The 27,189-nt window shown below is 61.0% G+C and overlaps 3 protein-coding genes across 9 annotated transcripts, besides 10 other annotated features; 1 reads left to right on the top strand and 2 right to left on the bottom strand.

The window, feature by feature from the left end:
- Positions 1,616–19,183, bottom strand: IDUA (alpha-L-iduronidase). Of its 4 annotated transcripts, none has more exons than NM_000203.5 (14): positions 18,938–19,136; positions 18,231–18,371; positions 5,483–5,568; positions 5,191–5,298; positions 4,617–4,712; positions 4,299–4,501; positions 4,019–4,198; positions 3,695–3,911; positions 3,236–3,448; positions 3,023–3,144; positions 2,710–2,835; positions 2,555–2,631; positions 2,068–2,168; positions 1,616–1,920 (listed from the first exon to the last, which is right to left on the bottom strand). In NM_000203.5, the coding sequence occupies exons 1-14, from the start codon at positions 19,093–19,095 to the stop codon at positions 1,787–1,789; spliced, it is 1,962 nt and encodes a 653-aa protein (NP_000194.2). In that variant the 5' UTR covers positions 19,096–19,136; the 3' UTR covers positions 1,616–1,786. The 4 variants fall into 4 exon arrangements, 3 of the variants coding, with proteins under 3 accessions (NP_000194.2, NP_001350505.1, XP_047271606.1); NR_110313.1 differs by having other exon boundaries at positions 1,623–1,920; positions 2,551–2,631; positions 18,938–19,183; NM_001363576.1 differs by lacking the exons at positions 18,231–18,371; positions 18,938–19,136 and adding an exon at positions 6,116–6,470 and having other exon boundaries at positions 1,623–1,920.
- Positions 2,411–2,968: an enhancer, noted in NCBI's record as "H3K27ac-H3K4me1 hESC enhancer chr4:997000-997557 (GRCh37/hg19 assembly coordinates)". NCBI's record gives its function as "activates a minimal SCP1, AML or CMV promoter by ChIP-STARR-seq in naive H9 embryonic stem cells {active_cell/tissue: H9 hESC(naive)}" and the evidence as "EXISTENCE:reporter gene assay evidence [ECO:0000049][PMID:30033119]".
- Positions 6,425–7,815, bottom strand: LOC124900646 (uncharacterized). The gene is made up of 2 exons (XM_047416476.1): positions 7,191–7,815; positions 6,425–6,756 (listed from the first exon to the last, which is right to left on the bottom strand). Exons 1-2 carry the CDS (start codon positions 7,813–7,815, stop codon positions 6,425–6,427), a joined length of 957 nt encoding a protein of 318 aa, XP_047272432.1.
- Positions 11,816–12,627: an enhancer, noted in NCBI's record as "H3K27ac-H3K4me1 hESC enhancer chr4:987341-988152 (GRCh37/hg19 assembly coordinates)". NCBI's record gives its function as "activates a minimal SCP1, AML or CMV promoter by ChIP-STARR-seq in naive H9 embryonic stem cells {active_cell/tissue: H9 hESC(naive)}" and the evidence as "EXISTENCE:reporter gene assay evidence [ECO:0000049][PMID:30033119]".
- Positions 12,628–13,439: an enhancer, noted in NCBI's record as "H3K27ac-H3K4me1 hESC enhancer chr4:986529-987340 (GRCh37/hg19 assembly coordinates)". NCBI's record gives its function as "activates a minimal SCP1, AML or CMV promoter by ChIP-STARR-seq in primed H9 embryonic stem cells {active_cell/tissue: H9 hESC(primed)}" and the evidence as "EXISTENCE:reporter gene assay evidence [ECO:0000049][PMID:30033119]".
- SLC26A1 (solute carrier family 26 member 1) lies at positions 12,776–27,189 on the top strand. Of its 4 annotated transcripts, NM_213613.4 has the most exons (4): positions 12,776–12,879; positions 13,245–13,459; positions 14,450–15,052; positions 15,818–18,523. In NM_213613.4, exons 3-4 carry the CDS (start codon positions 14,477–14,479, stop codon positions 17,345–17,347), a joined length of 2,106 nt encoding a protein of 701 aa, NP_998778.1. In that variant the 5' UTR covers positions 12,776–12,879; positions 13,245–13,459; positions 14,450–14,476; the 3' UTR covers positions 17,348–18,523. The 4 variants fall into 4 exon arrangements, 3 of the variants coding, with proteins under 3 accessions (NP_998778.1, NP_602297.1, NP_071325.2); NM_134425.4 differs by lacking the exons at positions 13,245–13,459; positions 15,818–18,523 and adding an exon at positions 26,676–27,145; NM_022042.4 differs by lacking the exon at positions 13,245–13,459.
- Positions 15,908–16,407: an enhancer, noted in NCBI's record as "H3K4me1 hESC enhancer chr4:983561-984060 (GRCh37/hg19 assembly coordinates)". NCBI's record gives its function as "activates a minimal SCP1, AML or CMV promoter by ChIP-STARR-seq in primed H9 embryonic stem cells {active_cell/tissue: H9 hESC(primed)}" and the evidence as "EXISTENCE:reporter gene assay evidence [ECO:0000049][PMID:30033119]".
- Positions 16,408–16,909: an enhancer, noted in NCBI's record as "H3K4me1 hESC enhancer chr4:983059-983560 (GRCh37/hg19 assembly coordinates)". NCBI's record gives its function as "activates a minimal SCP1, AML or CMV promoter by ChIP-STARR-seq in primed H9 embryonic stem cells {active_cell/tissue: H9 hESC(primed)}" and the evidence as "EXISTENCE:reporter gene assay evidence [ECO:0000049][PMID:30033119]".
- Positions 18,630–19,279: a silencer, noted in NCBI's record as "silent region_15116". NCBI's record gives its function as "represses an Ori minimal core promoter by ATAC-STARR-seq in GM12878 lymphoblastoid cells {active_cell/tissue: GM12878}" and the evidence as "EXISTENCE:reporter gene assay evidence [ECO:0000049][PMID:35858748]".
- Positions 18,670–18,847: a silencer, noted in NCBI's record as "fragment chr4:981121-981298 (GRCh37/hg19 assembly coordinates)". NCBI's record gives its function as "represses an EF-1alpha promoter that drives an FKBP-Casp9 reporter gene in an ReSE screen in K562 erythroleukemia cells {active_cell/tissue: K562}" and the evidence as "EXISTENCE:reporter gene assay evidence [ECO:0000049][PMID:32094911]".
- Positions 19,490–19,549: an enhancer, noted in NCBI's record as "active region_21142". NCBI's record gives its function as "activates an Ori minimal core promoter by ATAC-STARR-seq in GM12878 lymphoblastoid cells {active_cell/tissue: GM12878}" and the evidence as "EXISTENCE:reporter gene assay evidence [ECO:0000049][PMID:35858748]".
- Positions 20,725–20,774: an enhancer, noted in NCBI's record as "active region_21141". NCBI's record gives its function as "activates an Ori minimal core promoter by ATAC-STARR-seq in GM12878 lymphoblastoid cells {active_cell/tissue: GM12878}" and the evidence as "EXISTENCE:reporter gene assay evidence [ECO:0000049][PMID:35858748]".
- Positions 25,938–26,518: an enhancer, noted in NCBI's record as "H3K4me1 hESC enhancer chr4:973450-974030 (GRCh37/hg19 assembly coordinates)". NCBI's record gives its function as "activates a minimal SCP1, AML or CMV promoter by ChIP-STARR-seq in naive H9 embryonic stem cells {active_cell/tissue: H9 hESC(naive)}" and the evidence as "EXISTENCE:reporter gene assay evidence [ECO:0000049][PMID:30033119]".

Raw genomic sequence — 27,189 nt, 5'->3', positions numbered from 1 at the left:
GTACTCTAGCCTGGGTGACAGAGTGAGATTCTGTCTCAAAAAGAAAAAAGAGGCTGGGCACGGTGGCTCACGCCTGTAATCCCAGCACTCTGGGAGGCCGAGGCGGGCGGATCACGAGGTCAGGAGATTGAGACCATCCTGGCTAACACAGTGAAACCCCGTCTCTACTAAAAGTACAAAAAAAAATTACCGGGTGTGGTGGTGGGCGCCTGTATTCCCAGCTACTCAGGAGGCTGAGGCAGGAGAATGGCGTGAACCTGGGAGGCGGAGCTTCCAGTGAGCCGAGATCACGCCACTGCACTCCAGCCTGGGTGACAGAGCGAGACTCCATCTCAGAGGCTGTGTGTGAGCTGACGGCCAGTGCTGGCTTCCCTGGCTCTTGGCATGGCCTCAAGCCTGACCCATTCACAGCGAAGGCCAAAGTGACCCCAGGAGCAAGACCGGAGGGTGGGGACGCGTCAGTAAGCTGGTGAGGACACGTCAGTAAGCTGATGGCCGCCAGGGAAGGAGACGGCAACGGAAGCTCATGGGGAAGGAGACAGATGCAGCTTTGCCATTCAGCCAAGACTGGTGCCAGCGCTGTGGGGCCTCAGAACCCCCTGCTGACCGTCACTTTGCCTCCAGAGGAGGGTCTGTCCTACCACCCTGGTGACCAGGCTCACACCAGGAATCCCAGCTGAGGGGGAAACTTGGAGTGTATGTGGCTATTTTTGCCAAAAGCCACAACACCCAGGTCCAGGAGTGAGGGGAGGGTCCCTCGTGGGTCTCTGTCCCACCCCAGCACCTTGGAGGCCCACTTTGGTTGGGGCAGGCAGGGCACATGGGCTTTGGGAGGTGCAGTGAACCCAGCGGGCTCACCCCCCGCCCCCACCGGAGCCCCTGACAGCCTCCAGGGAAACCTGTGGGGTCCCTGTGCCCCAGCTCTCTGGCTGAGTGCAGCCAAGGGTGGCCTTGGGAGGATGCTGGAGCGAGGGAAGAGACTGCGGCCTTGGTTCCTGGGGTCCTGCACACAGCACCCACAGGCTGGCCACACCCCTGGGCAGAAGGTCCCTGCTCCTTGCCAGGACGCCCAGCCCTGCCTGGACTGCTGAGTGCCCTGGGGGCTCCCCCGTGGCTTCCTGGCACCCTGCCTCCATCTCTGTAAACTGTCATCAAGTTGTCCTCATCTGGCCCTGCCATGTCTCAAATCCGGAGCCAAGACAATCCGTGGTGGGGAGACGCAGACCATGGTGGACACTACTGTTTCCTTCTGCTGGCCACCTCCTGGGTCGCACAGGCGTGACCCCATCCCACCCTCCACCGTGCTGGGGTACGGGAGTCTTCCCTCATGCAGCCTCAGCTCCCCGCTCTGCAGAACAAGTAAGAAAGCAAGGGACTGGCACGCCGCCTCACCAGGGGTGATCTCGGAAACCCCTGGGTGGGCAGGGCCGAGCTGGCTCGCCAGCCTGACCCAGGGGCTCAACACACTTCCAGTCCAGGCTTGGGGGTGGTCTGAGTGGGAGCGAGGGGGAAAGAGGCCTCGCTCCAGCTGGGTCCTCATCAGCCACCGGGGTTTACCCTTGGAGGCTGCCCTGGAATGTGCCCAGGGCCAAGCCACAGAGCCTCAACCCGAGACTGACCTGTGCAAAGCCGCTTTAAAGGGGGCGTTGGTACCAAGATATAAAAGAAAATAATAAAATATAAAAATATATTGCAAAGGGGGTGATGGGAGGGCAGCATGGGCACAGTGCAGCCCCAGCTCGCTGACTGCCGGTGGAGGTGCAACCCACTGGGGCTCAGCACAGGCTCATGGATTGCCCGGGGATGGGGGCCCTCTTGGCACAGGGACCTCCAGGTACGGCACAGGGTCCGAGAAGGGGCCTGGTCGGGCCCAGTAGTCCAGGGCTCGAACTCGGTAGGAGCCAGAGACAGCACCTGTGTCTGGAGACAAGGGGACATGTGTGCCAACCGGAACCTGCCCCCACCCGAAAGCCCCCTGACCCCAGGCTTCTCGAGGCCCCCACCCAGTACTGCCCTGAGGCCCAAGAATGGGGTGGCCGAGTCCAGGGCAGCGGGTGGTGGGCGCACCTGGGCTGAACACAAAGAGGTTGAAGGTCGATGGCTTCCTGCTGACCGGGGTGTACGCCTTACCGTCCTGAGAGAACTGGATCTCGTATGTCCACAGGCACCTGGGGAGGTCAGGCCAAGAACAAGGCTGGGGTCAAGACAGTCCTCAAAGGTGGGAGCAGGCAGGGCACGGCCGCGTGGACCCACAGCCTCATTCCCTCAAGCCCCTCGGCGGCACCTCCCCAGCCCCTGGGCACTCTTCCTGCCCAGGCAGGAGAGGGCTGGAGCCCGAATGTCCATCTCATGTCCCCTAGGAGAACCCACACCCCACTGGCAGGGCCTGGCGCGTGGCCCACAGTGTGTGGGGTGAAGGGCAGGGACGCAGGGCGGCGAGGGAGGGAGCCGATGGGCCACGGCAAGTGGCCCGAGTGACCGCATGGGTGAAGGGGTCGGGACCCAGGGACCTGCCTAGGACCAGGCAGAGGGAGGGGCGGCCCCACTCACGCACTTGGAGCCCACGTGTTCATCCGACCAGACCAGAACCAGCTGCCCTTGGGTCAGGGGCAGGGCGCGGAGCCGCGTGACCTGGGGGAGGGAAGGGCTGTGATGGCGTCGGGGAAGGGGAGTCCGGGCCGCGGCGCGGGTTAGGGGACTGCCACTTGCCTGCCCGGGCGGCTTCTCGGGGCGCGCACACACGTGCACCAGCAAAAGCGACGGCAGCCGCAGCGCGGGGCGCAGGGTCAGGCGGCCGCCGGCGGGTAAGGGGCGGGGCGCCGCGGCCACCGGGTCCTGGGCGCAGTGGCCGGTCCTCAGGGTTCTCCAGGGGAGCTGGGGACGCTCGGCCCGACCTCAGGGCGAACGCCCCCGGCCCACCGCTCCACCTCCCACCCACACCGCCTCGGAGCCCCCGCCCCGGACCCCACCCCCCCGGGACCCCGGCCCGGCCCGGCCCCTCGCCCCTCCGCGGCCCACCTACCTCAGCCGCGCGCATGCGCCGGAACTGCTCTGCCGTGGGGAAGACGGGCCGGCCCAGGCGCCGCCACTCGCCGTCGGGGCTGCAGAGCCCGTTGTCCAGGTAGCGCGTGACGTAGACCAGGCCTGCGGGGCCTGACACTCAGGCCTCGGCTCCCCGGGCCGCCCCCTCCAGAGCCCCAGCGGGGCCAGAGACCTCCCTGGAACCCCGGCTTACCCGGGCCGGGGGGCACCCCGCGCAGCCGCAGGGTCACCGCGACGCTGCGGTTGGGGTGGGCGCGGGTGTCGTCGCTCGCGTAGATCAGCACCGCGGCGCGCCAGGCGTCGGCCGGGCCCTGGGGGCGGTGGGCGCTGGCCAGGACGCCCACCGTGTGGTTGCTGTCCAGGACGGTCCCGGCCTGCGACACTTCGGCCCAGAGCTGCTCCTCATCTGCGGGGCGGGGGGGGGCCGTCGCCGCGTGGGGTCGTTGCCCAGCCGCCCCCCGACCCAGGGCCGGGCCTCCCACCACTCGCTCCCCCTCCCCTTGGTGAAGGAGTCCCCAGGCCCCGCCACGCGGAGGCCGACCCCGGGAAGCGCGCGGCTGGAGGAAGTGCGCTCCCCGCAGCGGGGCCTTCGCAGGAGCCGCTCCCCAGCCTGGAGGGCCCTGGCCGGCCCACCCCAGCGGCCCCGGCTCACCCAGCAGCGCCAGCAGCCCCATGGCCGTGAGCACCGGCTTGCGCAACAGCTGCACGTGCGGCGGGCGGGTGTTGTTGACCTGGAAGCGCGCGGTGAGCGTGCGCTGCGCGAAGGGGTGCGGGTGGTAGCTCAGGAAGGCATTGTCGTTGCTCAGGAGCGCGTAGGGGAAGGCGGAGGTGGTGTTGGCCAGTAGCAGGTTCTGATGCTGCGCGATGACCTGCGGGTGTCCAGGGCAGCTGGGACCGGGTGGCGCGGCCACCGCTCGCCTGTCCCGTCTCGGGAGGAAGGTGGCCGGGGGGCGCGCAGGGCGTTGGGCCGGCCCACCTTCACCACCATGGCCGCGTAGGTCACGTCCGCCCTCCACGGCTGTGGCAGGGACCAGCCCACCAGCGGGTCCGCCTCGTCGTTGTAAATGGGGGTGTCCGCGAACTTGGGGAAGAGCTGCCGGATCTGCTGCGCGACGACCTTCTCCTGCTCCAGGATGGAGATGGAGCTGCGCGCACCCTGCGGGCGGGGCCGCCTCAGCACCACCAGGGTCAGCGCGGCCCGGGGCACAGCGGCTGAGGGCGCAGAACACCGGGGCGGACGGAGGGGCAGGGCGCACCTTCCTGTGGAGGGAGATGTAGTCCAGCCGCACGCCCGCCTCCCCAGTGAAGAAGTTGGTACCGTCGTGGCAGTGGCGCAGGAGGCCCCAGCTCAGCGGGGATCGCGGTGGGGTGTGGAAGGAGTCGCCGGGGCCTCCCAGCCGCAGGGCGGGGCTGGCGGCGCGCAGACCCTCCGAGCAGGCATCGTAGTAGTTCAGGAAGCCTGGGCCGGGGGAGCACTGCGTCTACACCTGCCCTGGGGATGAGCGGCTTAGCCTCTGCTCCTGCCTTCCTCTGCCCCCTTTCAGCCGGGCAGGACCCCAGGAAGCGGTGCACACCTTGCATGGTCATGGAGACGTTGTCAAAGTCGTGGTGGTCTGGCTCATTCCACGTCTCGAAGTTCCACTTGGAAACATGCGCCAGTCCGTACCTACCTGCAGAGGAGCCTTGCTGTCCCCCCAGCACAGGTGAATCTCGCCTCAGTGACTCCCACGGAGGGAGGGTGCAAGGTGATGAAGGGCGTCTGACTCAAGATGAACCCCATCTCCATGCAGGCCAGCCTCCCGCCCCACATCAGGAAGCGCTGGCTCAAGGGGGTCCAAGACCTGGGCGGCGGCCTGGGTGATAGGGGTGCGGCCTGGGTGATAGGGGTGCAGCCTGCCCAGGAGTACCCCCCACCCCAGGGGCCCAGGGCCTTCGCCCACCCACCAAGCCCAGGAGTACCCCCCAGCCTGGGGCCCCAGGGCCTGCGCCGACCACCAACCTATCCCTTGTCACCCCCATCCCCCCACAAGGGCCTGCGCCTGCCCACCAATGTATCTCCTGACCAGGCAGCAGCCTGCGTGATAGGGGTGCAACCTGCCCAGGAGTACCCCCGCCCCGGCCAGGGCCCCAGGGCCTGCGCTCGCCCACCGATGTATCTCCTGGCCAGGCTGGAGACCAAGTCCTTCCACTCAAACACCTGCTGCTTGTCCTCAAAGTCAGTGAAGTGGCCCGAGGCGCTGCCCATCAGCTCAAACCCTGGAACACAGGAGGGCTGCCCCACCGCCCACCACACACCACACCCATGCTCTGCCAGGCCTGTGCTCCGGCACCAAGGCCAGCCCTGAATGGACATCCAAGGACTCAGAGGGGCTGGGTGAGGGAGAGGGTGGGCAGGGCAAGGGGGTGCAGGCGGGCTGGGAGGGCAGAGCCCACAGCTCACCTGGGAGGAGCTGGTTCTCCCTGAGAAGGTCCAGGTACCCGTCCAGGTGGGTGAAGTTGTAGCTCAGGCCCCGTCCAGTGGACCCCCTGCAGAAGGACGGTCAGCGTCAGGAAGCAGGGTGCCCACACAGCTCCATGCTCCAGGCTGGAACCGTGGCCACAACGGAGCATGTGGGAGCCTGCAAGGTGCCACACAGGACTCCGATCCCGGCTTCCCGAGGGGCCCTTCCCCTTGGAAAATAACCCTATGAAGGCCTGGTATGAACTAGAGTATCTGTACATGGAGACCCCCCAACCCTACACCATCAAGAGATGGAAAACTTGGGGTGGGGGTTCGGAATGGCTCTGAGGCTCAGTGGCACGAGGCAGGCCAGTCGCGAGCAGCAGGGGCCAGGGGTCAGGAGCCAGGCAGGACCTGGTGGACACCTCACCCTGGTTCTCTGCACCTCCTGGAGGCCCAGGAGTGCCCCATTTCCCCTCCCACACCCCAAGAGGCAACATGAGTGCACAGGAAAGGGAGAAGGGGGCCACCCTGCCACTGCACTTGCAGATGGGCTGAATTCCCATGAGGCCTGCATTCCGAGGGGACAGGCGTCGTCAAGGGTGAAGGGGGCCGCCCTGCCACTGCACTTGCCGATGGGGCTGAATTCCCACGAGGCCTGCATTCCGAGGGGACAGGCGTCGTCAAGGGAGAAGGGGGCCGCCCTGCCACTGCACTTGCAGATGGGGCTGAATTCCCACGAGGCCTGCATTCCGAGGGGACAGGCGTCCTCAAGGGAGAAGGGGGCCGCCCTGCCACTGCACTTGCAGATGGGCTGAATTCCCACGAGGCCTGCATTACGAGGGGACAGGCGTCCTCAAGGGAGAAGGGGGCCGCCCTGCCACTGCACTTGCAGATGGGCTGAATTCCCACGAGGCCTGCATTACGAGGGGACAGGCGTCCTCAAGGGAGAAGGGGGCCGCCCTGCCACTGCACTTGCAGATGGGCTGAATTCCCACGAGGCCTGCATTCCAAGGGGACAGGCGTCGTCAAGGGGGAAGGGGGCCGCCCTGCCACTGCACTTGCGGATGGGCTGAATTCCCACGAGGCCTGCATTCCGAGGGGACAGGCGTCGTCAGGGAATGGGAATCTTTGGTGAAGGGGATACGACAGGGAGTGAGGAGCCTGATGGTCAGCGAGGGACCTCTCTGAGGAGACACCTAAGGCTACCATGCAACGGGACCAGCCAGCAGGAAGACATCCAGGCAGCAGATGGCATCGCCAGTGCAAAGGCTCTGGAACAGGAATGCACACATGACAATCAGGCAGCAGGGAGGCAGCTGGTGGGCCTGAGACAGAATAAGGGTGGATATCATGGGATATGAGGCTCCATGGGGCTCTGGAAGTGACTGCTTTGAGGATGGGACCCTGACCCAGAGCGAAACAAGGATCCCTTTCAAGGTTCTGAGCTGAGCAGTGCCAGGGCATTTTTCTTTTTTCTTTTTTTTTTTTTTGAGACAGAGTCTCACTCTGTTGCCCAGCCTGGGGTGCAGTGGCGCGATCTCGGCTCACTGCAAGCTCCCCCTCCCGGGTTCACACCATTCTCCTGCCTCAGCCTCCTGAGTAGCTGGGACTACAGGCGCCCGCCACCACGCCCGGCTAATTTTTTTGTATTTTTAGTAGAGACGGAGTTTCACCATGTTAGCCAGGATGGTTTCCATTTCCTGACCTCGTGATCCGCCCACCTTGGCTTCCAGAGCATTTTTCAAGGATCCCTCTGGCAGCTCACTGGAGTCAGGGTGGGAGCTGGAAGACTGGCTGGGGGCCATGGGGGTTGCCCAGAGAGGTATGGTGCCCAGACTGGGTGGTGGCTGTGCAGGCTGTGAGCAGAGGGACTGATGAGGTTTGAGGTGAGCTGGGGGGTGAGGTGGGGGGTCGGGGGGTCGTACAGGGCAACTGTGGATTTCAGCTTGGGCAGCTAGGCGGGTGGATGAGCTTGGAGTGAGACTGGTCTCGGTTTTGGCCATGTGGAGTTGGACATCTGAGGGTGAACTGAGTGAGGAGATTGGTGTGCAAGGGTCTGGAGTTGTGAGTGATGCTTCTGGCCTGAGGGAAAGGGAATGGGGTGAATGGAATAGCAGCCAGCCTTGAGCCTGGAGTGAGAAGCAGAGACCAGGCTGGCCAGGGTCTGAGGGCTTCCTGCGGACGCCACGCAGGTGAGCACAGCTGCCCGTGGGGCAGTGCACCTCCTGTGGCAGCTGGCTTTGTGCCGCATCTGCAGTGGTGGGGGATGGGGTTACCACCATGGACCGGAATCTGGCCCTATACAGCTCCCCGTCTGTCAGTCTCCCCATGCCACAGCACCCCCAGCTCCACAGCAAAGGTCTGGACACCTCAACGCCTCCCTTCTGGTCCTCCCATGGTGTACAAGATCAAGGCAGAGCCTTGGCAGGAGTCTACAGCCTTTGGGTGTGGGCTCCTGCTCCGCCCCGCCTCTGCTGGTCCCCACCTGCTCCTGTACCCCGGGCTGGGTGTCCAGCAGGAGCAGCAGGAGTCCCTGGGGTCCACCCCACCCGGCCCCTACCACCTCTCCTCCCCTCCATCCAAAGGACACACTGGTAGCAAAGAAGTATAACTTAAGAGGCACTTGGATAAGAATTAAATGCCCAGAAGGTGCATTCCAAAGTCCCACGGAGTTGGAGTAGCGGGGCACGGTGACCTGGAGGAAAGTGAAGACCCAGCTGGGCTTCAGGTTTTCTCTGCAGAACCCCAAGGCGATAGCCCGGCAGCCCCTGACCCTAGCGGGGGGAGCCCCAGCATCAGAGATGTCCCTGGCCTGACACCCAAGGCGCCTCTGAGTGTCATCTGGCAGGGCCAGCCTCGCAGCGAGGGGAGCCCGGGACAGGGATCCCCGCCCCCAGGCCCAGGAACCCCGGGGTCAGTCCACAGGCCCGAGGGCCCACCCTCCGCCTGGCCCCCATTGGGAGGGGCCTTGAGAGACCGACGCTGGGGAGGGGACTGGGCCGGCGAGATGGAGCGCGCAGCCCACCCCCAGGGCCGGAGACGCAGACGAGCCACCGCCCAGCCCGGGAACGGAAGCCGCGGGGGCGCGTCAGCCCTTGTAGACCCCGCGCGGGGTGTCGCTGGGGCCGCGGCGGCCGCACAACGGGCTCATTCACCGCGCGGCCGCGGCTGAGCGGCCGCCCGGGTCCCCACGTCCCCGCCCCTGGGCCCGAGCGCGTGAGCCGCTAAGACCGCGCGGCTGCCGGGCCTGGTGAGTGCGCGGGGCGGGGCCGCGCGTGCATGGGGGTTCGCAGGCGGTGGGGGGAGACCGCGCGGGGTGGGGAGCAGGGCCGCGCTCTCCTGAGGGTGGGGGTGGGAGTGCGGGGCAGGGGCGGAGGCCGGGCCCGCTGGGCTGGGGGCGCGGGGCGGGTACAGACCCGCCTCTTGGGAGAACCTGCATCTGTGGCCGGGACGAAGGGGACACAGGTGCTAGAGGGTGCGGGCCGGGGCCTCCTCTTCTCCAGACCTCGGAGCTCGCCCACCCGCGGGAGGGTCTCTGGGAATAAACTCGGGTCCGGTCTCAAAGCCCTGTCGGCCGGGCTTCTTCCCACGGGTGGGAGGCAAGGATGCAAGGTCTCCTTTCCCAGTAAATGGACTCCAATGTAAAACGGCTGATTTAAAGACAAAACTAAGGAAGTAAGCGTGTGACACAAGACTGGCCAGGGGTTCAGGCGGGAGGGGGGTTCAGGAGGGAGGCGGATTCAGGCAGGTCCCAGTTGCTGGGGCCCCCACGCCCCCTGTCCTGCGTGGGCCAAGCGGGGAAGGAAGGAGGTGTTGGCAGCCCTGCGCGTGCACAGGCTCGGGGTAGAATGGGCTACCCACTCTCTCTGGCCAGCAAGGCCCCTGGACCCCCTGGGCACTCAGCCTCTGGGCCTGGCCACAGGACAGCACCAGCCACTGCCTCAATGCTCAGAGAAACTGAGGCAGAGACACGTGGGAGGGGGCAGGTCAGGCCCCAAGGATCCTGCAGTGATGACCTCACCTACTTTAGACACCCAGCCTAGGTGGGGACTAAAAGGGCATAAGGCCCAATGCCTGCAGAAGACCTGAGGCCAGGCCCCTGCAGTGCGGCTGAGGCTGTTCCTGAACTACGCTCACCTGCCTAAAACCTCACCACAGGTCCCCATAAGCCAGCCTCTGGAAACCTCCACCACCTTTCCTGAGGGGGGAAGGGCCACCTCCCACTCCAGGTTTTTCTGTGGCCCCAGGTGGCACTGCCCACCCCACCCTGCATGCAGGCGTCTGCACCAGGTGCCCCACCCCTGCTGTAGCACCCAGGTCCTCCCTGCCTCCTTTAGGGAGACCTTGAGGGAACAACCCCAGCCCCCTGGGTCTCCCCAGTTCTCCAACAACCCTGCTGGTGGCTGCACCCAGAGGGGCCCTTATCTGTCCCAGGGAGGGACCTGAGGCCCTGCGTGACTGCCTTACCCCACCCACTGGCCAACCGCTTCTTACAGCACAGCTCCCAACTGCTGAGCAAACAGCTGCTTCCCAGGGACCACTGGGGCCCAGGTTGGGCTGGGGTGGAAGCAAGGGCTCAGACTCTGGAGGACAGGGCAGGGGCTTCGAGGAGAAATCAGACTTGGAGAGGGCATCCCAGGTGGAGGCTATGGGGGTATGAGACCCTGGAGCCTGTTCAGCTCTGCCCGAATCTCACACTCAGGGGTACGAGACCCCAGAGCGTTCAGCCCTGCCCGCATCTCACACTCTGGGGTACGAGACCCTGGAGCATTCAGCCCTGTCCACATCTCACACTTAGGATGTCTCCTACTCTCTGGCCATCCCAACTACATTCCACTCCCATTTCACCTCCAAATGGGGGCACTGCAGCCCAGTCTTCCCTGGGCTCACCCAGGGCTGTGGGGAACTAGCAGCGCTTGGCAGACGGCTTCCACAAGGAGGTACCTTTGGTGGGGTGAGTGTCCAGGGTCTCCTCCCTCCGGGGCTGTGCCCCATCAATGTCAGTGTCCTCGTCTTGGGGAAATGGAGCCCCGGCACATCAGCTGGTTCTGCGAGACCCTCGGCTTCAATCCCACATGGACAGGAGAAGTAGAGCCTGTGGCTTCTGTTCCCCGGACAGAGTCAGGCTGCCCAAGGTGCCAGGGCCGGGTTGGCCTTCCAGCCCCACCCGAGGGACCCACCGCAGCCTCCTGGCCTCCCTTGGGATGGGAGAGCACTGAGGGCTGCAGCCCCTCGTTACACTCACCCTCCGGCCACAGGTGCCCCGTGCAGGCTCCCACCCAGTACTCACTGTCAAAGTCGGGGGGACCTGAGGCTCCCAAGGAATTTTTTTTTTTTTTTTGAGACAGAACTGGCCGGGCACGGTGGCTCACGCCTGTAATCCCAGCACTTTGGGAGGCCGAGGCGGGTGGATCACAAGGTCAGGAGTTCAAGACTAGCCTGACCAACATAGTGAAACCCTGTCTCTACTAAAAATACAAAAATTAGCCGGGCGTGGTGGCACACGCCTGTAGTCCCAACTACTCAGGCGGCTGAGGCAGGAGAATCGCTTGAACCCGGGAGGCAGAGGCTGCAGTGAGCCGAGATTGTGCCACTGCACTCCAGCCTGGGCAACAGAGCGAGACTCCATCTCAAAAAAAAAAAAAAAAGACTTGTAGGCTGGAGTGAAGCGCTACAAACATACCTCACTGCAGCCTGGACCTCCAGGGCTCAAGCAATCCTCCTACCTTAGCTTCCCAAAGTGCTGGGCCAATGACAGCGTTTGTTTTTGAGACGGGCTCTTGCTCTGTGGCCTAGGATAGGGTGCAGTGGCCTAATCATACCTCATGGCAGCCTCAAACTCCTGGGCTCAAGCCATGCTCCCACCTGAGCCGCTTGAGTAGCTGGGATACAGGCACACACCACCACACCCAGCTAATTTTTTACTTTTAATTTTTTAAAGGTTGGGGGGCAGGGGGCGGCCGGGTGCAGTGGCTCAAGCCTGTAATCCCAGCACTTTGGGAGGCCGAGGTGGGTGGATCACGAGGTCAGGAGATCAAGACCATCCTGGCTAACATGGTGAAACCCCGTCTCTACTAAAAATACAAAAAATTAGCCGGGCGTGGTGGCGGGTGCCTGTAGTCCCAGCTACTCGGGAGGCTGAGGCAGGAGAATCACTTGAACCCGGGAGACAGAGCTTGCAGTGAGCCGAGATCATGCCACTGTACTCCAGCCTGGGCAACAGAGCGAAACTCCGTCTCAAAAAAAAAAAAATTAGCCGGGCGCGGTGGCGGGCGCCTGTAGTCCCAGCTACTCAGGAGGCTGAGGCAGGAGAATGGCGTGAACCCAGGAGGCAGAGCTTCCAGTGAGCCGAGATCACACCACTGCATTCCGGCCTGGGTGACAGAGCAAGACTCCGCCTCAAAAAAAAAAAAAGAAAAGGTGGGGGGCGTCTCACTATGTTGACCAGGCTGGTCTTGAACTGCTGGCCTTAAGCGATCCTCCTGTCTAGGCCTCCCAAAGTGTTGGAATTACAGGAGTGAACCATCGTGCCTGGCTAATAATTCCTTTTAAAAAGCAGCTTACCCTTATTTTCACGTGTGGGCCTAATTTAGTTCACTTAAAAAAATCATTTATCTTCACCCCAGCCCTATGAGGCAGGCACTGCCGGTCCTGGTCTGTGGTAGAGGGGAGGGCAGAGGAGCCGTGAGGGTGACCAGGCGCTGTGGGTCGGTGCTGGGTCCAGTCAGACCAGGACTCCTGGCCAGTCACGGCACCTTGACCCCGGCAGTCCTCGCCCTGGGCGGTGAGCACCACACACAGGGCTTACGCGAGCACACACGCATATGCACGCACCGGCAGCCTTGGGCTGAGCCGGCTGTCAGCCTCTGCCCTGCTCCAGCTTGGACCAGGCTGGCTCCTTGCAGGACCAGGAGGGTGTCCGGCGACTGGACACGGAGACCAAGCCTCCCTCAGCCCCGCCTGGGTTTGAAGGCTGCTGCACTCGACCCCAGACCCCAGAGCTGAAGGTTTACCTGTGCTCAGCCCCTGAGCCCCCGCCTCCCGCTGGTCCCTAAGCCCCCCCGGCAGGGCCGCAGAGCCACAGCTGCAGCGGCTCCTGGGAGGCTGGGAGCTCCTCAGAGGCCCACACAGCTCTAACTCCTACAAGCCCCTGATTACAGTTCAACTCCCGGATCAGCCGATCAGGTAACATGGCTGGAGAAACCCATGACTCAGCAATCTGTAGGTAAATAATTGAACTACAGAGTCCAGGGCACAGACCACTGCCTGCAGGTTGGCGCCACCACCCCCACTCTCCCCGCTGCTCGCGGGAGCCAGAGGGCCCTGCGGTCCTCGGTGGTCTTGCCAGCCCCTCGTCATCCCAGGGCCCTCCGCGCCTGTGAGGACTCCCTCAGGTAAGAACCATCCTGGGCCCAGATCTCAGCTGCAGCAGAGGGGGGCGTGGGAGCCGAGGCCAGAAATGCCCTGGACTCGTGGTTTCTTAGGGGCACCCTCAGGCTCAAGGCAGGTGGCCCTACTGTCCCCATTCCACACACCTGGACCCCAGGGGCTTGGGGTGGGCTTCAGGGCATCCAGGGACCCAGTGTGGTGGGGTCTTCCAGGGAAGGGGACACAACTCTTGCAATGTTGCCTGAGGGCCAGGACCCCCGCTCTGTGCCCCAGGGGTGCTGTGCCCAGCCTGCATGTGTCAACCTACCAGGCTGGGCTCACTGCCCCAACACACCCGCCAGGAGACTGGAGCTCGCACACCCTGGGCCAGCGTGCAAACAGCAGGCTCAGCCCAGGCTCCAGGGTGTCCTGGGCACCTGGTGTCCTGGGAGCAAAGTCTTTGCCTAACGTCGCTGAGAAGAATGTTTAAAGTGAAAGTACATTGGAGTCTGCAAACAGGACAGACCCGAGGCCTCACGTGGGACCAGTCAGGCCTCTAAGCACCGCCTCCCTAACGCCACGGTGTTTTCCGAGATCAAGGGAAAGGTCAGGTGCCCTTCCGGCTCTGCCGGCCCAGGGTGACTGTGTGCAGCGGGCTGGGCCCTCTCGGTGCTGCCTCGGGACAGTGTGTCATGGCCGTTCCACAGTGAGCTGGTGCAGCCTGGGAAAAAGGGCGCCTCACGTCCCAGAACTGTCTGGGCAGGGGAGACAGACGCCAGTCACCCTCCTCCCCTCCCAGCTGGCCCTGATGGGGCCCCCGTCCAGGCATATTCTCAGAATTCTGTCCCAAGTCCAGGCGGATGGGCTAGGCTAGTGTCTGAGTGCTGCTCCCCCAGCAGACTTGGGGTCCCAGTACCCACAAAGCTTGGCAGGGACATAGGAGGCCTCTTCCTGAGACTTCCGCCAGCCCCAGGACCCACAGGGCAGGTGACAGAGGGGTGGGTGGAGGTGTCTCCAGGAGAGCAGGCGATGGTTTGGATGGGGGAGGGAGGGCTCTGGTGTGGGCATGGGGTGGACAGCAGGACCGTTTGCCAACCTGGGGAGCCAGGGAGGTGGACACGGAGCAGCTGGACTCAGGCTTGCCTGCACCTGTGTCCAGTGACTGTGACATTCTGACGGTAGGCACATGTGCGTGGTGGCAGCCCAGCCTGTTCCTGCCCCGTTGGGGAGGTGAGCTTCAGGAGGCTACAGGGTGGTTTTCAGCCAGGAACCGCAGAGCCAATAGGCCGGAGCTGAGCCTGGACAGGGTGCCGCCACGCCGCCCCTCAGCACTGCTGGCCTCAGCACACCCCATGGCATGGGCTTGGTGTCGTAATCCCATCTCACCTCACGATGGATTCTGGATCCAGCAGGGCCCAGCGTCCATCCATACCGGGCAGGGGGCTGGGGCCCGCGCTGCCAGGAGAAGGCCCAGCACCAATCCCCGGCCCTGGGTGGGCGAGGGGTCCGCCCCAAGGGGCCCGTTGCTGCCGGGGACCTTGTCGTTTGGCCCTGGATCCGGGGGCTCCTGTGACCATGCCCTCTTCTCGGCCGCAGGTCGGCCACGGGACCTGACGCAACAGGATGGACGAGTCCCCTGAGCCTCTGCAGCAGGGCAGAGGGCCGGTGCCGGTCCGACGGCAGCGCCCAGCACCCCGGGGTCTGCGTGAGATGCTGAAGGCCAGGCTGTGGTGCAGCTGCTCGTGCAGTGTGCTGTGCGTCCGGGCGCTGGTGCAGGACCTGCTCCCCGCCACGCGCTGGCTGCGTCAGTACCGCCCGCGGGAGTACCTGGCAGGCGACGTCATGTCTGGGCTGGTCATCGGCATCATCCTGGTGCCGCAGGCCATCGCCTACTCATTGCTGGCCGGGCTGCAGCCCATCTACAGCCTCTATACGTCCTTCTTCGCCAACCTCATCTACTTCCTCATGGGCACCTCACGGCATGTCTCCGTGGGCATCTTCAGCCTGCTTTGCCTCATGGTGGGGCAGGTGGTGGACCGGGAGCTCCAGCTGGCCGGCTTTGACCCCTCCCAGGACGGCCTGCAGCCCGGAGCCAACAGCAGCACCCTCAACGGCTCGGCTGCCATGCTGGACTGCGGGCGTGACTGCTACGCCATCCGTGTCGCCACCGCCCTCACGCTGATGACCGGGCTTTACCAGGTGAGGAGCCCTGCTTGGGCACAGGGAGGGGCCCAGGGCACCCCCCCTTAGGTTTTGGCCATCCACGAGGGCAAGGCTGGGGGCAAGCACAGGGTTGGCAGAGGAGGTGCTGGCCCAAGACAGCAAGGCTTGGGCAGAGCTGGGGCGTGCCGGGGCATCCCAGGGCGAGGCACCGACGCGGAGAGGCTGTGGATGCAGGAGGGGAGGGGCACGGGGAGCCAGTCCGGTGGGCCATGGCCTTGGTGGGGACCAGCAGGCCAGGTGTGGCTGTGGCTCAGTGGTGCTGGACTGAGGCCATGTGGCCTCCCAGGCCTTCTGTCCTAGGTGGAGTGGGGGATGGCCTCCCCACCCCCGAAGGTCTCCTGCCTTGGCCTGTCCACCTTGGCCCCCGTTGGCTCCACATCTGCATGGGGGGCAGTGGGCACCATGTGTAGGAAGCAGCAGGAAGGGGTTGCCTTCTGATACCAGAGGTCTTAATTCTGAAATAAAACGGGCTGCTGCACGTGACAAGGGTTAGACGTGTCTATGGCCAGCTGTGTGCACGTGTGATGCTCACGTGGATGTCACAGTTGTCTGCGGGCATGAGCACGCGTGGAACCAGAACTCAGGCCCGTGTGAGGAGTCTGGTTTGGAACACACGGGGCCGCAACACAGAATTGTCAGGTCCTGTGCCGTGACCACCACCCCTCGGGCCATGCCAGGTGCTGGTGAGGGGCAGGTGGCTCCCGCCAGGCGCCTGCTGGCCTGACCGCACTCCGTCCACAGGTCCTCATGGGCGTCCTCCGGCTGGGCTTCGTGTCCGCCTACCTCTCACAGCCACTGCTCGATGGCTTTGCCATGGGGGCCTCCGTGACCATCCTGACCTCGCAGCTCAAACACCTGCTGGGCGTGCGGATCCCGCGGCACCAGGGGCCCGGCATGGTGGTCCTCACATGGCTGAGCCTGCTGCGCGGCGCCGGGCAGGCCAACGTGTGCGACGTGGTCACCAGCACGGTGTGCCTGGCGGTGCTGCTAGCCGCGAAGGAGCTCTCAGACCGCTACCGACACCGCCTGAGGGTGCCGCTGCCCACGGAGCTGCTGGTCATCGTGGTGGCCACACTCGTGTCGCACTTCGGGCAGCTCCACAAGCGCTTTGGCTCGAGCGTGGCTGGCGACATCCCCACGGGTTTCATGCCCCCTCAGGTCCCAGAGCCCAGGCTGATGCAGCGTGTGGCTTTGGATGCCGTGGCCCTGGCCCTCGTGGCTGCCGCCTTCTCCATCTCGCTGGCGGAGATGTTCGCCCGCAGTCACGGCTACTCTGTGCGTGCCAACCAGGAGCTGCTGGCTGTGGGCTGCTGCAACGTGCTACCCGCCTTCCTCCACTGCTTCGCCACCAGCGCCGCCCTGGCCAAGAGCCTGGTGAAGACAGCCACTGGCTGCCGGACACAGCTGTCCAGCGTGGTCAGCGCCACCGTGGTGCTGCTGGTGCTGCTGGCGCTGGCACCGCTGTTCCACGACCTACAGCGAAGCGTGCTGGCCTGCGTCATCGTGGTCAGCCTGCGGGGGGCCCTGCGCAAGGTGTGGGACCTCCCGCGGCTGTGGCGGATGAGCCCGGCTGACGCGCTGGTCTGGGCAGGCACCGCGGCCACCTGTATGCTGGTCAGCACAGAGGCCGGGCTGCTGGCTGGCGTCATCCTCTCGCTGCTCAGCCTGGCCGGCCGCACCCAACGCCCACGCACCGCCCTGCTGGCCCGCATCGGGGACACGGCCTTCTACGAGGATGCCACAGAGTTCGAGGGCCTCGTCCCTGAGCCCGGCGTGCGGGTGTTCCGCTTTGGGGGGCCGCTGTACTATGCCAACAAGGACTTCTTCCTGCAGTCACTCTACAGCCTCACGGGGCTGGACGCAGGGTGCATGGCTGCCAGGAGGAAGGAGGGGGGCTCAGAGACGGGGGTCGGTGAGGGAGGCCCTGCCCAGGGCGAGGACCTGGGCCCGGTTAGCACCAGGGCTGCGCTGGTGCCCGCAGCGGCCGGCTTCCACACAGTGGTCATCGACTGCGCCCCGCTGCTGTTCCTAGACGCAGCCGGTGTGAGCACGCTGCAGGACCTGCGCCGAGACTACGGGGCCCTGGGCATCAGCCTGCTGCTAGCCTGCTGCAGCCCGCCTGTGAGAGACATTCTGAGCAGAGGAGGCTTCCTCGGGGAGGGCCCCGGGGACACGGCTGAGGAGGAGCAGCTGTTCCTCAGTGTGCACGATGCCGTGCAGACAGCACGAGCCCGCCACAGGGAGCTGGAGGCCACCGATGCCCATCTGTAGCAGGGCCAGGCCTGCCCAGCAGCCTCTGCTCCCTCCTGGGGACCCACAGCAGACGTCTGCAAGCCACTGCTGAGACCCTTCCCAGGGAGGAGCCACCCAAGAGCTGCACTCTTGTGCCACAGCTGCCCTGGGGAAACCGGGGAACCCCAACTGGGAAAGGAGGCCCTCTGATCACACGCAGGACCCAAACACTCAGAAATCAAGAACCTCTGCCTCCGAGACAGGCTGGCCCACAGTGCTGGCTGGGCCCCAATGCACCGTCCCTCAGCTCAGGAGGGATGGGCCTGACCTGACGCTCAGGGTTGACATCTTATTTGAACAAGGGTCCCCCGCCATCATGCAGCCTCCAAGGTGCCAAGAGGACTCCCTATGCCCAGGCCTGCCCGGTGCCCACCCTGCTGGTAGGAGCCAGCGGCTCTGGCCAAGTGCACGAGGGTCTCTGTGTTTCCAGAAGGCCCCACACACCCAAGTGCCCCTCACACCTCGTGCCTCCCCCTCACAGGGTGGCCACCTGCACCAGCGTCAGGGCCCAGGGTGCTGTGACCGATGAGACCTCAGCTCAGCCCTCAGGTGCAGTGGCCCTACCCAGCCTGGCCAGCAGACACACACAGGGATGCTCACGGGTGCACCAGGAGCCAGGTGCGGCGCAGCCAACCCTGAGCCTGCAGGGAGACCTGCAGGAAGCCCACCGTGCCCCATGCAGGGGCTCCCTCCAGCACACAGCCCTCACCCCAGCACAGCCAGCAAGGACACGCTCTCCCCAACAGGGTGCTTCGGCGGGAGGTGGGGGAACAAGGGGTCTTCCGAGCAGCCCCCAGCCCTCCCCTCCCATCTGTGCCTCTGTAAGGGGCTCTGGGACGCCCAGACCCTGCCCGCCGCCCACCTGGTGGTGACAAGCTCCAGCAGCCAGTGGGTCCGGACCTGCTTGATGCCGCGGTGAGGGACGGCGCCCACATAGGCGAGGTTGAGCTGCTGGTCCCAGCTGAGGACGTACTGGTCAGCCTGGCTGTGTGGCAGCGGGGGGCTGGGGACAACAAAGGGGCGGCTCAGTCCCGAGCCTCAGCATGGCTGGCAGCGCGGCTGACACACACGTTCAAGCCCAGGACTGCCCGGGCGCAGGATCCAGGCGCTGCCCGTGCGTTCAGTGACTAATAAAATGACCCTTAGGGCCAGGAATGTGGGGAGGTCCCATCTTCATGGGGAACGGCAGCAGCAGTAAGACGAGGGGCCAACGCCAGCCCTGGCCCTGGCCCTGCCAGGAAGGCGGGTACCTCAGCTCTAGGTGGAAGGAATGGGACAGGCAGGCCAGGTCCCGCTGCAGGGCCGTCCACTCCCAGGGGAGACTCCTGGTTTACCTCAAAGAGCAGGATCCCGGGCATCGGCCTGGGCTGCAGGGGGCGGCCCAGGCTCACGCCCCGGCGCCCACTCAGGTGGAGGACCCACCCACAAACACGGCGGGGGGCGGGCCCGGGAGAGCCAGGGCCCCAGAGGAGGGAGCTCCGGTCTCTGAAGCTCTCACAGTGCGCAGTCAGGGGGCGCCCGAGCTCTCCCCGTGCGGCCAGGGGGTCCCGGAGGCCGCGGAGCGCTCACCAGAAGCCTGTGCTCCTCCAGAAGCGCCGCAGGGGCCACAGCGCGCGGGCCGCGTCCACATGCACCAGGTGCGGGGCCTCGGCCGGGGCCACCGGGGGCGCGGCCAGGAGCGAGGCCAGGAGCGCCAGCAGCGCGGCGCGGGGGCGCAGGGGACGCATGGCCACGCGTGCTCGGGGACTGCGGGGCTTCGGGCTGCACTGCCGGTTCCGCCTCCGGGTCGGAGTCTGGGCGCGCACCCCATGTGACCGCCGCCGCGGGGCGGGGCCTTGGTGAGGGGGCGATGGCCGGGTGGGAGGGGTTGGGTGGCCTCGGGGAGCCTCGGGGAGCCGGGAGCACGGCAGGGCTTGGAGCCCCGCTTCCTTGCGGGCCTCAGGGGCTGCTCTGAGGACCGATGACTCGGAAAGCGCTCAGAAGAACGCTTCGCCCGTTGGTGCTATGTGAGTTGAGCCATTACTGTCTTGTTTTTCTCTGTTTTTGTGTGTTTTTGAGACAGAGTCTTGCTTTGTCGCCCAGGCTGAGGTGCAGTGGCGCGATCTCAGCTCACTGCAACCTCCATCTCCGGGGCTTCAGCGATTTTCTCACCCCAGCCTCCTGAGTAAAGCGTGCGCTTTAGCAGGAAGGAGAATTACCCCAGAAGAGCACACTGGGCCCTCCTTACACTTGGCTTCAGATCCATGGATTCAACCAAGCAGACTGAAAATATTGTTTTAAAGCCAAAGCAATACGAAATAATACATATTTTAAAACAATACAGTATAACAGCTATTTACAGAGCATTTACATTGTTTTAGGGACTATAAGTAATCTTGATTTAAACTACACAGTAGGATGTGCGTAGGTAATGTGCAAATACTGTGCCATTTTATATCAAGTACTTGAGCACCTGCAAATTTTGGTATCTGGGAGGGTCCTGGAACCAATACCCCGAGGATACCATGGGACAACTGTAGTACATGTGTAGTCCATGTATGCATGTGTGAATCCAAGCAAACATTGTATAAAAATAATAATGGAAAGAACAGGCTTGGTGCGGTGGCTCACACCTGCAATCCCAGCACTTTGGAATTGCAGGCCAACACGGGAGGATCACTTGAGGCCTGGAGTTTGAAATCGGCCTGGGAGATGTACCAAGACCCCATCTGTACAAAAAAAAAATTTAGCCAGATGCGATGGTATATGCCTGTGAGGCCCAGCTACCCACGAAATTGAGGTGGGAGATTGCTTGAGCTTAGGAGTTCAAGGCTGAGACGGGCCATGATCACACCACTACATTCCAGCCTGGTTGACAAAATGAGACCCCATCTCTAAAAAAAGAAAAGAAAAAAAGAACAGTCTACTAACAAAACGAAAATACTGGACAATAATCCTCTCTAAGTTGGGAGAAGGATAATTAGAGTTACAGTGTTCTGGGTCTTTTTATTTTGGGGAGAGGGGTTAAAATATTGCTTAACATTAGGTCTTCTTATGTTGAAATTGCATTAAAAGTGATTAGCCATTTAAAAGTGAAATAGTGTGTATATATTCCAAATTAGCAAGGAGGAAAAACATAATACAAAAAAATTCATTAAGAAACTAAAAAGTAAGAAAGGGAGGGAAAGGCGAGAGAAACCATGCAAGTACAGAACTGTCTCCAGGAACAGCGGGGTAAGACCCTCAGTCCAACGACCCCAGAGAAAACAACTAAAATGATGGATAACTCGCTTTAAAAACAATTCCTCAAAGCGTCAGAGAACTGAGAAAAACAGTAAGAAACCACCAGTCCCACACCGTGGTGCAGGACACAGCAATGGAAACTGAATTGTTTCAGACCAGCCGCCTCCTGAGAGCAACCATCAGAACTGGAGAGCGCTGAACGGAACCGTCCAGGGCACTGGGAGCTCTGAGGAGCCTCTGAGGCCTCGGGGCTCTGCAGGGACAAGCCGGGAGGGGGCGGGGCCCGCTTTGGGGCGGCGACTCCACACCCCTGCAGCGTATCCCAGCCACACAAGACATGGCGACACGCTGCTGCGTTCGTTCCTCACACTGTGGCCACAGGACAGAAGTCGAGGCTCAGGCGGGGGGCCTGGTAAAGACTTTGGGTTTTTCTTGGGACCCCAAAGTTCTATCCCCTAAAAGCAAAGGTAAACCAGCAACAGAATTGTCTTTGTGGGGACTGAAGCCAGCCTTAAATCACCTCAAGCCCTGAGAGAATTAAGGTGAGCCGCTCACCGGGACACCTGTGGACAGAAAAGTACACCTTCCCTGGAGGAAGGTAAAACAAAACAAAAACAGACAGAAGTCCTCACTGCACGGTGCTGGAATGGATCCGGGTCAGGAAAAATTATTACAAAGTGCATGATGGGGACATTCACAATTTGGAATATGCCTTGTACATTGTGCAACAAAATTCTACCAATGATAAACTCCAGAATTTTTTTTGTTTTTGTTTTTTGTTTTTTTAAACGAAGTCTCACTCTGTTGTCCAGGCTGGAGTGCAGTGGTGCGATCTCAGCTCATTGCAACCTCTGCCTCAGCCTCCTGAGTAGCTGGGATTACAGGCATGAGCCACCACGCCCAGCCAATTTTTGTATTTTCAGTAGAGACAGCGTTTTACCATCCTGGCCAGGCTGGTCTCGACCTCCTGACCTCGAATGATCCACCTGTCTCGGCCTCCCAAAGTGCTGGGATTATAGGCATGAGCCACCGCGCTGGGTCAAACTCCAGAATTATTAAACGACTCAATGATTGCATCACGGTTGTGAATGGAGATTTTTTGTTCATTTGTGATCCATGCTGAAGGGTTTAGAGGTGAAGAATCAATAGATTTGTAACCAAAGTTGCTCTGGAAATTAAAGCAAAACAATAAATTTAGATTACATACAGAGACTGAGATAAAAGCAAAGGTAGCAAAATATTAACAGTTGGTGAACCTGGGTGAAAACTATATACTGTTATTGCAACTTTTCTGTGAGTTTGAAATTTTTCAAAATGAAAACATTGAAAAAAATATTAAAACCTCATGAAACTTAGTAAAAATTTATTGAATGATACACTTGAACTTGCTTCATTTTATTGTATGTAAATCATATCTCAGTAAAGCTGATAACGAATTGGTTTAACAGCAAATTAAATCCAACTAGGCTGAGCAAGGTGGCTCATGCCTGTAATCCCAGCACTTTGGGAGGCTGAGGCGGGCAGATCACCTGAGGTCAGGAGTTCGAGACCAGCCTGGCCAACATGGTGAAACCCTGTCTCTACCAAAAATACAAAAATTAGCCGGGCGTGGTGGCATGCGTCTGTAATCCCAGCTACTCAGGAGGCTGAGGCAGGAGAATTGCTTTAACCTGGGAGGCAGAGGCTGCAGTGAACCAAGATCACGTCACTGCACTCCAGCCTGGGCAACAGAGTGAGACCCTGTTTCAAAAAGAAAAGACAAAATTAAATGGTGTTCTTCAAGTAGAAAGAATGATGTCCCAAATCCCAGCTCAGAGGTGCAGAGGAAGAAGTGAAGAGTGCGGGGGGAAGGGAAAACCTCCCCTGCCTTTCTGAAGTTTCACTAAAAGGGTACACAGATTTCTTGGATTGTAGTTTTATGTGACACAGCAGCTTTCAGAGCAAAGACCTAAAGGCGCAGGGGAAACCACATTTTTATACTCAGGTTCTGTGAATCTGGAAATAGGATTGGACGAAAGGTTAAGACCTGACAGGCTAACAGACTCCTGGGGGAGCCCAGCGAGGCCCATCTGCTTCGGTTCCTGGAGGCCTCTCTCTGCAGCTCTCCCTCCTGCTGGGTGGGGGCACAACGCCCCGGAATAGGGGTCTGACCACATACAGTCAAACAAGGCAGGCCAGAGAATTCCTTTATGGCCAGTTTTTACACAGAAAGACAGAGAAAAGTTATTAGAGTCATACTTTTAGGTTTATGGCTGGCTTTGGGGAAAAGGGGCTTAGGTTTCTACGACCTGCCTGGGACAATGAGGGGCCAGAGACAGGAGGCAGGAGAAGGCCTGGCTTCCAAGGCCTTCACTCTGGGTGACATTTTCTGAACCCCAACAAAAGCAACAGAAACGGTATATTGTGTATAAACCTAATGAATCGTAACCGCATAAAACAATCATGTTACAGGGTTTCACATATTTCTGGGGAATTAGGATTTACAGCAAGAGTGGCACAGGTGCTGTATGGGAAAAGTGAAGTGAGAGGGGAGGAGAGCCTCCTGAAGACGCCCTCCGTCCTGTCCAGGCCCGCGCCTGTCGCCTCACATGGCGAGCGCCTGCAGGCATGGTTCCGTGAAGCATCCAAGACGTAGAGATGATTCTAGTTATCCGAGTGGGCCCTGAGTGTAATCCCAGTGTTCCTATACAGGGGAGACGGAGGGGGGTTTGACACAGAGGAGGCTGTAACGGCCTCAGGAGAGATTGAAAGATTGTTCTAAAATGTGTCCCCAGGGTTTATTTCAGTGAGGTGTGGGGAGACACACGGACCCGGCCACGACAGGCCAGGAGGAAGGCCTTGCTGTGTGTAGAGACGTGTGCGATTCCGATTTAGATTTTGGGGCTCTGTGAGGCAAGAGATTCACACAGGTCTCTACCCTGCAGGGGACACCTTTTGGGCAATGGCCCAGTGGCTTATAATAAACGTGGGGAAGAAGCCACTGGTCGGCGGAGGCCCTCAGGGCTGAGACCACGCCTGGCACATTGCTTCCAGGTCCGCCTTTCACTGGGGGCGTCCGGGCAGGGGTGGAGCAGCAGCCGTCCACCGGGCTCCCCAGCAGTGTGGCCAGCAGCACCGTACCCTCACGCACGCACCCATTTCTCTTCGCTCAGAGGGTCCCACAGGGCTTGCCAGGCAGCCCAGGGGTTTACGGGAGGTGACCTCCTCCCACACTTGGCATCCGGCAAGCCACCGAGGACAGGGGAAGCCGCCCCCTCCCACAGATGGAAGACAGCAAGGGGCAGCTTTGCCTCCATCCTGCCTAGAGAGGCCTCTCTGAGGCCAAGCTGAGCTTGTGGGGTGCTGGTCCTGTGACCCAGTGCATACAGGCAGCTGGGGATGAGGCCAGAGGCTCAGGGTCTGTGACAGCCTCTGTCCCAGGAGAGCCTGGGGTCAGCCAGTCACTTGTGGTTTTAAGAGTGGACGGCACTGGGCCAGGCGCGCTGGCTCATGCCTGTAATACCAGCACTTTGGGAGGCCGAGACGGGCGGATCATGAGGTCAGGAGATAGAGACCATCCTGGCTAACACGGTGAAAACTCGTCTCTACTAAAAATACAAAAAATTAGCCGGGTGTGGTGGTGGGTGCCTGTAGTCCCAGCTACTTGGGAGGCTGAGGCAGGAGAATGGCGTGAACCCGGGAAGTGCACCGAGCTTGCAGCAAGCTGAGATCGCGCCACTGCACTCCAGCCTGGGCAACAGAGTGAGACTCCGTCTCAAAAAGAAAAAAAAAGAGTGGACGGCACAAGGCCAGGTTCTTGCTGGTTCTTGCATCAGAAGCCGCTGGGCAGCTTACGGCTGTCAGGAGTGGCTGAGAGACGCCAGCCGGCTAAGAAGAGGCTGCCAATGCCTCTACAGTGGAGTCTCTGAGAGCACTAACGAGAGTGCCTGCAGATTTTAATGCATTTTGTTTTTAGACGGGGTCTTGCTCTGTCCCCTAGGCTGGAGTGCAGTGGCGCGATCACGGCTCACTACAGCCTCGACCTCTCAGGCTCAAGCAGGCCTCCCACCTCAGTCTCCTGAGTACCTGGGACTGCAGGCAGCACATGCCTGGCTAATTATTGATTGATTGATTGATTGTAGATAGGGTCCCTCTCTGTTGTCCGGGCTAAGGGTCCCTCTGTCTTGCCCGGGCTGGTTTAGAACTCCTGACCTCAAGTGATCCTCCCACCTCAGCCTCCCAAAGTGCTGGGATTACAGGCATGAGCCACCACGCCTGGCTGGTTTTTATTTGGACGTAAAATTTGGAAACGAGGAATATGTTGCCACCAGAACCCAAAAAGAACGAAAAGATACTGGACTGCGTGTCAGTAGGAGGGTGCTCTCCATGCACGTGGGCCCGCGCCTCTGAAGAAGGCCTGGTCAGTGGAGGTCCCGGCGCAGCCTGGAAAAGGTGGGCTGTGTCCTTGGAGGTGGCGGTGAACTGCGGCTTCCAGGTGGCTGAAACGGGCCCTGAGTGGAGCAGAGGCCGTGTCTGCGTGACGTGACGCACGCTGGCCGGTTGCTGACTGGGGAGTCGCTGGTTGAGACCCTGCTGGGTCTCAGGGTGTGCGGCCTAAGGGGTGATGGCAGCCTCGAGATTGTGAAAACCCGCCGTGAGGCACCCGTTATTTTTTCCTGGTAAAAGAACAGGCAAAATCAGGCCTTTGTCTTCTCTGCTTGTATCTAGGCAGTTGCTGTTTTTTCCTTTCTCCCGACCCCCATCCTTCTTTCTGTTTAGGCTTTCATCTGCCCTAAACCCTGGTTTTTAGTTTCTGTCTCTGGCTGATAAGAGGGAAGGAGGGGAGGGAAGCTGCCCCCTAGAATGGCCCGTCTGCAGCGTAATCCTTCCTTCTTTTTTTCTTAAACAAAATCTTGGTTTTCGTCTTAAAAATCTGGCTTATATCTCAAGGTGCGTAGAATTTTTTCCTCTTTACTTCCTGTCCATCCTGATTGTATTAACAGCACTTTTTTTTTTTTTTTTTTGAGATGGAGTTTCGCTCTTGTTGCCCAGGCTGGAGTGCAGTGGCGCGATCCTGGCTCACTGCAGCCTCCACCTCCCGGGTTCAAGCGATTCTCCTGCCTCAGCCTCCCAAGTAGCTGGGACTACAGGCGCCCGCCACCATTCCTGGCTAATTTTTGTATTTTTAGTGGAGAGAGGGTTTCACCATGTTGGCCAGGATGGTCTCGATCTCTTGACCTCAGGTGATCTGCCCACTTCAGCCTCCCAAAGTGCTGGGATTATAGGCGTGAGCCACCGCACCCAGCCTATTTTCTGTATTCTTAATGCACTGGCCTTGGGCGTCTTGATCCTGGAGAGATCACCCCTCCAGAGCCCACAGGTGCCTCCTTCTCACAGTCACACAAAGCCAGTGTCCCTGCCCTCAGTCACCCCAGGGCGAGGTCCTGGCCGACCAGGGGCTGCCGAGCCCAGGGCCCAGGGAAGTCGCTCCAACTCCAATCCCGTCCTGATCTCACCTGGCAGTGTCCACCCTGCCTCATTTGCCCTTCCCGCAGAGCCCCCATGAACTGGGGCTCCCTCCACTCCGTGGCCCTGTGTGCTGTGCCCCCTTCTCTTGGGAAATGTAATGTATCTTCTTTGCAGGAAGTTGTCTCCACGTCTGCCACCTTACCGCACCTGACTAAAACTAAGCCCAGGTACAAATTTTAGAACAAAGGTGTGCGGCCTCTGGAAATCAGCTCTGGAAGCTAGAAGGGGCCAGTAGCTTTGCCTCGGGAGGGAGTGTGGCGCTGCCAACAGGTGGACCTGCAGAGGGCTTGTGCCAGCCTGGTCCACGTCATGGCACTGGCATAGCAGGTCCACACAGTGGGACGGATTCACGGGAAGCTGGTAGATCCCCTTCCAAGGCAGCACACGGTTTTGTAAAAGGTGCTAAGCCAAAATTCCTTAACCACAAGGGCTCCCACCCCGCCTCCGCTTCCTCTCTTGCTGGGCTGGCACTGGAGAGGCAGTGGGCACTTTGGGGCCCGGCAGGGGGACGTTTGGCTGTGGAGACGTCAGCGGGTCAGCGGCCTCCACCATGCCCTTCCCGGCCACTTCCTTCCAGACGTCCTGGGGTAGAAACAGCTTCCAGCAACACCCATGGCAATTAACACAGAGGAGTGACTCGCAGGAACTTCTGGAAGAGGAGGAAAGATCTTGCTGATTTAACAGGAAATGCCGACATCAACGACATCGAGAATGCGGGACCCTCACACCAGCCTCACGAGAAGCCGGTGGATACAGCTTATTCCAGAGGGAGGCTTGGATCAGCACCTGGGGAAAAAAGGCAGCCCCTCAACCTGGCCAGCCTGCAGAGGAGAGAAGCCTGAGCAAGCGTCCTCCAAATTTCACAACAGGCTTTACCATGTGGATGATGTAACCAGTCATCAGTACATTTCTGTAAAGCAAAGCACACTTTTAAAAACCAGCCATGCTAGTGGGCCTGAGGATTACCTTTCGTCTTCCTCTTTCCTCTGTGGAAGATGATATTGCAAAATTGTAAAAAGAGACAATAAAAAAGTGGATGAAAGGGTATCCTAGCAAGCTGTTATGAATAAAAAATCTCGGTATTTTCTGGA

The sequence above is a fragment of the Homo sapiens genome, chromosome 4 (assembly GCF_000001405.40).
Source record: "Homo sapiens chromosome 4, GRCh38.p14 Primary Assembly".
Taxonomy (NCBI): domain Eukaryota; kingdom Metazoa; phylum Chordata; class Mammalia; order Primates; family Hominidae; genus Homo; species Homo sapiens.
The sequence above is the reverse complement of the archived record's forward strand: the minus strand, read 5'-3'. Positions and strand labels throughout refer to the sequence as shown.

Bases quoted from the DNA above. Each gene is read 5' to 3' on its own strand.
- IDUA (NM_000203.5), bottom strand. From the start codon at position 19,095: ATGCGTCCCCTGCGCCCCCGCGCCGCGCTGCTGGCGCTCCTGGCCTCG. The intron at 18,372-18,937 runs GTGAGCGCTCCG...TGTTGTCCCCAG, and splicing joins TGGAGGAGCACAGGCTTCTG to CCCCCCGCTGCCACACAGCC. The intron at 2,632-2,709 runs GCAAGTGGCAGT...TCCCTCCCCCAG, and splicing joins CCGAGAAGCCGCCCGGGCAG to GTCACGCGGCTCCGCGCCCT.
- SLC26A1 (NM_022042.4), top strand. From the start codon at position 14,477: ATGGACGAGTCCCCTGAGCCTCTGCAGCAGGGCAGAGGGCCGGTGCCG. The intron at 15,053-15,817 runs GTGAGGAGCCCT...CTCCGTCCACAG, and splicing joins TGATGACCGGGCTTTACCAG to GTCCTCATGGGCGTCCTCCG.
- LOC124900646 (XM_047416476.1), bottom strand. From the start codon at position 7,815: ATGGGGAGACTGACAGACGGGGAGCTGTATAGGGCCAGATTCCGGTCC. The intron at 6,757-7,190 runs GTCAGGAAATGG...TTCCTGTTCCAG, and splicing joins CAAGGTGGGCGGATCACGAG to AGCCTTTGCACTGGCGATGC.